Below are 6,142 nucleotides of genomic sequence, written 5' to 3'. Positions count from 1 at the left end.
TGGAGGGGGGCCCAAAGGCTCCTTTTGCTGGAACCTTCCACCCACTGCCCTTCTTCAGCCAGGGGGTACACACATAACCAATGACACATTCTCTTGGGACCCTGAATCTTGAGCAGAAGCAAGGGAGAAGGTAGGGCTGGCGTTCGTTCGGTTCCCCAGGAATGACCAGCTAGGGAGATGGACAGAGTTTCTGCTCCTGAGAGACTCTTGAGCCACCGCTTCCTGTCAGTTTACAGCTCGGTTTTTATCCTTCTCTCCATCTTGTGACCTCCCCCAAATTCTCCCACCAAGTTCCCTTTTATGTTGGTTGCGCTTGCCCATTTTGCTTTCTGTTGCTCACAGCCCCCAAACCCTAACCAGCCCGGGGAGGAGGGACCAAGAAGAGATCAGGCAGCTATGTGTGGAGCTCCTACAGCTCCAGCAGTTTCCAAGATCTCAGAGGCCACGCCTCATGTTTGGGAACAACTGGAGATGGTGCTCTCATGTTCAGCAGCAGGGTGCAAGGGAGACTTGTTTGGGTTGGCAGGCAATGGAGGCTTTGGAAGTAGAGGAACAAAATGACTAGCAGTGCCTGATCACTGGATGAGCAGACTCCCAGAGTGGTGGACTGAATTTTTAAAACAGGGCTGGAGACAGGCACAGTGGCTCACTCCTGTAATCCCAGCACTTTGGGAGGCCAAGGTGAGCAGATTGCTTGAGCCCAGGAGTTCAAGACAAGCCCGGGCAACATGGCAAAACTTCATCTCTACAAAACATACGAAAGAATTAGCCAGGTGTGGCGGTGTGCACCTGTAGTCCTAGCTACTTGGGAGGCTGAGGTAGGAGAATTACTTGATCCCTGGTGGTTGAGGTTGCAGTGAACCGATATCACACCACTGCACTCTAGCCTGGGCAATAGAGTGAGACCCCATCTCAAAAAAAGGGCAGGGCTGGAGATCTGGTAGGGCCTGGAGTTAGATGTAGATGTTTACTGTACTGTGTGGTTGTGACCCTGTTTTTACCACCAAACTGCTCTGCATGGGAAGCACCGATTATATAGCTAGGGAGTTGGCTGGAGGAAGATTATATAGTGAAAAAAGACTGGTGGGAAATAAGTAGTCTTTGTTTTCCTCCTTTTTGTTCTGAGAATTCCCTCTCCTCTTTTCCTGTCCCATGTTATTAAGTGACACCCCACCCCATACCCTCTATACCTGCTCAGGTAACACATGTTAACAGCTTATTATGTGTCTTTCCATGTTTATATGCAGATTTGTATAATCCTGTACAGACCTGTGTCAACATACATGTATATGCATACAAACGCAAAGGCAGGTCATTTCTGTTATTGTTTTATAAAAAGTGAATCATGTTACACACCTTTTTCTGCATCTATCTTTTCCCTTTCAACATATCTCCTCATATGGTTTGTGTCCCCTCCAAATCTCATGTTGAAATGTGGCTCCCAGTGTTGTAAGGGGGCCTAGTGGGAGGTGTCTGGGTCATGGAGGCAGATTCCTCATGAATGGCTTGGTGCTGTCCTCATGGTGATGAGTGAGTTCTCACTCTATGAGTTCACATGAGATCTGGTTGCTTAAAGGAGCCTGGCACCTCCTCCTCTCTCTCTTGCTCCCTCTTTTACCATGTGATGTGCCTTTCACCTTCCACCATTAGTATAAGCTTCTTTGTGTGAAGGTCCTTGCATGAAGCAGATGCCAGCTCTATGCTTCCTGAACAGTCTGCAGAACTGTGAGCCAAGGTAAACCTCTTTTCTTTGTAAATTAACCAGTCTCAGGTACTCCTTTATAGCAACACAAAATAGACTAATGTACCTCCCTACCCCCAGTCAAATAGTATAGTGCTAATTCATTCTTTTTAATGGCTATATAATAGTCCATGTTTTATGTACCCTCATTTATTCAGCCTTTCTCTGGGATGGGCATTCACTGTGTTCCCTGTGTGTGTGCACATGCATGAACGCCACTCAAATAACGCTGCAATAAACATCTTTGTACTTACATTTTTACCTAACGGAGCTTTTATTTCTGTGGGCTAGATTCCCAGGAGTTAGACTGCTGAGTTGAAGAGTATATACTTTTTTTATTTTAATAGATGTTGCCAGATTGCTTCCAGTAAAAGTTATACCACTTTGCATTTCCCCCAAAATATAAGAAGGCACACTTTCCCCACATCCCTCAAGACTGGCAGGGAATATTTCAACATATTAACAGCGGTAGTATTTGGATACTGGGACAATGGATGTTTTTCTCCCCTTCGTTTTATTCTAATTTCATTTCCCAATGTTTTCCCCTTTAAAAGGAGGAAAGGTGCAATCGTTTGTTTTAACCAGTCCCACCCCTACACATGCTGATCCTCAGACAAAGGATTCTCTAAGCTGCAGGCCCTGGGGCTCACTGTGCAGCCCCTCCCTGGGCACCAGCTGCCCCTGGCCCCCTTGTGGACCTGTCATCTCATCCCAGCAAGGAGGGGACCCCAGAGGCCTTCACACAATGTCTGCGTATCATATGTTTTCTAAAGCTGATTCACCGAGGTTACTTGCATGGAAGTGCTGCTCTGGTAGAAAAACTTCTAGACCCAGAAACAGACTAATCTGAGGTTGAAGCTTCGACTTTGCCAAGTCACTTAATGTCTCTGAACCTCAGCTTCTTTTTCTGTAAAATGGGGATAACAAAGCAACTACATCAAAAGATTAAGAGCAAAGTGGTTAATAGTTACAAACGCTTGGGGAAGAGGGAAGTATCTGGTAGGTAGTATAGGATCTATGCTGTTTTCTTGTTACATAAATAATGTCTGCCTCATTATGTCACTGTGAGGTCACGTGCACCGAGGTGCTTTCCTCAGCACCCGCTGAGAAGCTGCAAATGTGTAGTATCGCCATCGAGTCAAGTGCTTGTTGGGCTTAGTGCTCTCCTCTGAGCTCCCTTAGCCCTGCGCCTACAGCTGTCCCCGTTCTCAGAGGACACTGCAGTTGTGTCTGGTTTTGTGCTCTTCTCTCTGCTCTTCTGATGACTGGACTGGCTTCGGGAGCTGCTCTCAGAAAGACCCTGCACTTGGTTTCATGCTCTGCTGTCACCATCTTGAAATTCTTGAACATACGCCCCAAATATGATATCATGTAGCTATTCCCACCTCGCGCAATGCCCGACATGAAGTGAGCCCCCAGTAAATGTGTTAAAATGAAGCCATGCAAATAGTAAAGAAAACTTTGCTTCTGCCTTCTACGTGCTCACAGGATAGTTGGGAAGATAGCTATAGAAACTCTGAAGTGCACTAAAACCTCCACACAGTACATGGTGCAGCATTGCAAGCCCTGGCTTGGAATCAGACAAAGCTGGACGTAGAGTCCAGCATGTAATGCTGAACAAATTACTTGACTTCTAGGTACCTCAGTTTCCTCAGGTGCAATCTAGAGCTAAGACTACCAACTTGGTCAATCTGGAAGGTCAGTTCTGAGGTTTCCACTGCAGGCTTTGGGGTGGAGTATGGGGAGGCCCCATCCTGCTGAGCTGGGTTTGGAGCTGGGTTTGGGCAATGGCAGTTCCTGCGTCTAAGGTTCATAAAAGGCCCCCTTTTCCAGATCTCTTGGATCTTCCAATCTATTCCTCATTTAGCCTTACTAGGGGTGCTTACCTGCGGACTCTGATGTGGGTTCCTGCCCACTGAAATGGGTTTTCCTTGGCTACAAAGGTATAGCCTTTTCTGCACACAAGAGTCTAATATAGGGAGGTCACTTGATGTCACAGACAGGGCCTTAGAGTGAAGAGAGGGCAGCATTAGCAAATCCACAGCTCCAGGAAGTCCCCTGATATGACACCTCTCCTAGTCTTCCCCCTCCTTATGTTCTGGGACCACACCCCTCCCCAGCTTCCCAGGCCAGGCCTTTCCCACTACTTCACTCCCCTTCCTGCTGACCTCTCTCCATCATGGCTCCCGAGGCATGGGCACCGGCGGGAGGGGTGGAGGTGACAGCACAGGATCAACAGCTGCCAGCCTAAGTTGAGTCCAGCAGAAAGCAGAGGGGTCCCCAAGTGGTTTCCAACATGTCAAACATCCTACTGAGAACCCCCCATAGATTAGACTTAGCTCTCACCGCAGGCTTACGGAACTCCACGGTCTGAGCTGTCGGCAAAACCTAATTCATTTGGCAGACTCAGTCTTTCACATTAGGGGGTTTATGGTGGTTAAAGATAATGAAGGGACTCATGGCAATAAATAGTTTGGAGTAGGGTGGCCTGAACAACCTTGCTAAGAAATAAGGATTCAGGCCGGGCGCGGTGGCTCATGCTTGTGATCCCAGCACTTTGGGAGGCCAAGGTGGGCGGATCACGAGATCAGGAGATTGAGACCATCCTGGCTAACACGGTGAAACCTCGTCTCTACTAGAAACACAAAAAATTAGCCGGGCGTAGTGGCAGGCGCCTGTAATCCCAGCTACTCGGAGACGCTGAGGCAGGAGAATGGCGTGAACCCTGGAGGCAGAGCTTGCAGTGAGCCGAGATCGCGTCACTGCACTCCAGCCTGGGAGACAGAGAGAGACTCCATCTCAAAAAAAAAAAAAAAGAAATAAGGATTCAGTTGTGACTTCTGTCTTGGGTCCCTCCAATCTCCATTCCCACCCCCACAATTATCACCTTCCTGCCTTCCTTTGGTGACCTCTTCCCCCTTGAATCACGCCCTAGGCAGGCACTCATCTGTTCTCAGGGCCATCTTCATAGGCTCTTCCCTGCAGGAGAGAAAGCATTTTGTGCAAGCTCCACCTAAAAGTTATGCGGGCTTTCCAGCCTGTTCCTCCCACCTCCTTCCTGCCCCTGAATCTTCCCGCAGGGTCACCCTGAGGACAAGCAGTTTACTAACTCGAGGGAGAGCAGGGAACTCACATTCTGGGTATCAATGAAATTTATGAGTCATGGATATCACAGGACCCTGTTTTCGTTTGACTTCATTCGCCGCTTCCTTTCTTCGTATTAATTTCTCCCAACAGCCCACTTATCTTCCCTCTTGGAGCCCTGCCCGCCATCGCTTTCCCTGATACATGGTATCTCTAACAGGCTAAAGCACTCAGCGATGCCATTGCTTGAGAGTCGGCTTGCTCAAGCACTCACAAGTTACACTCTGTGGCTAATCAAATGTCAAAACAATCTCCCCCGCGATTTGGAGGAGCTTGGTGACAGGAAGACATTGGCCACTGAGCCATCAGAACAGGCCACGTTTGCTTGGTGGCAGGCAGTGAGACCGGTTTCTGCCGCGTTACATTCCGGGTGGCCGCTTTCCCTGAGAAGCAGCTGCTCTGCAGTTAGTGGGGTTTGGGGTTTGGAATTTGTTTCTTCTTTTCTTTTGAAGGCAGAGAGATACTCCATGCCAAGGGTCAGCAGGGTGGGGGGTGGCGGCGGGGAGGTGGTTGAATTTTTTTCTATGACAAAATGTTGTCAGGTCTCTGAATCATAGCAGCCACAGCGGTGGTTAAAGAGAAGAGATCGCATCTAGGAGCTGGTCTCAGTTCTGCCACAGAGAACACTGGACGAGTCACAGCCACTCTGAACTTCTGTTTCCTCTTCTGGAATATGAGGAAATTGGGTTAAATGGTCCCTGTGGTTCAAGAACCAGAAGATGATTCAACTTGACACCATACCTTACAATTTAAACACTTCTGTGCTTGTTATTTCATTTGATGTTCACAGTAAGCCCATAAGTGAACAGGAGAGGGATTATTATCTCTATTTTATAGCAGTGAAATGACTTGTGGTGGTTATACATCCTGCCCATGACAGAGCTTAGCCTGGGTCATGGGCTGGTGTCCTTCTCCTAGCCCAGGCTTGTCTCAACTCCTCATGCTCACAGGGTAGATTCCTTGAGCCGAACCACCTCCACCTTCAGCGCCACGCGGGAGCTTTTGTTCAAGCCAGAATTCAGGGATCATCCTGTCCACTTCATTTTCTGCTGAAAAAATTGAGCTCCATAGAGGGAAGCAAAAGGGCCTCCCCCGGCTCACACCGCAAAGCGTCCCATTCTCCTGATGTGGAACCACTCCACTCTTCTCGTGGGTCCCATGGGAGTGAAAATGCCTGCATCTTGGGCCTGGGCTAAGGATGGATCTGTCAAAAACAGTGACACTGATAAGTTTTGGGTGCATTTGAGACACCACCAC

This window comes from Homo sapiens, chromosome 15 (assembly GCF_000001405.40).
Source record: "Homo sapiens chromosome 15, GRCh38.p14 Primary Assembly".
NCBI lineage: Eukaryota > Metazoa > Chordata > Mammalia > Primates > Hominidae > Homo > Homo sapiens.
This window is presented reverse-complemented; position numbering follows the sequence as displayed.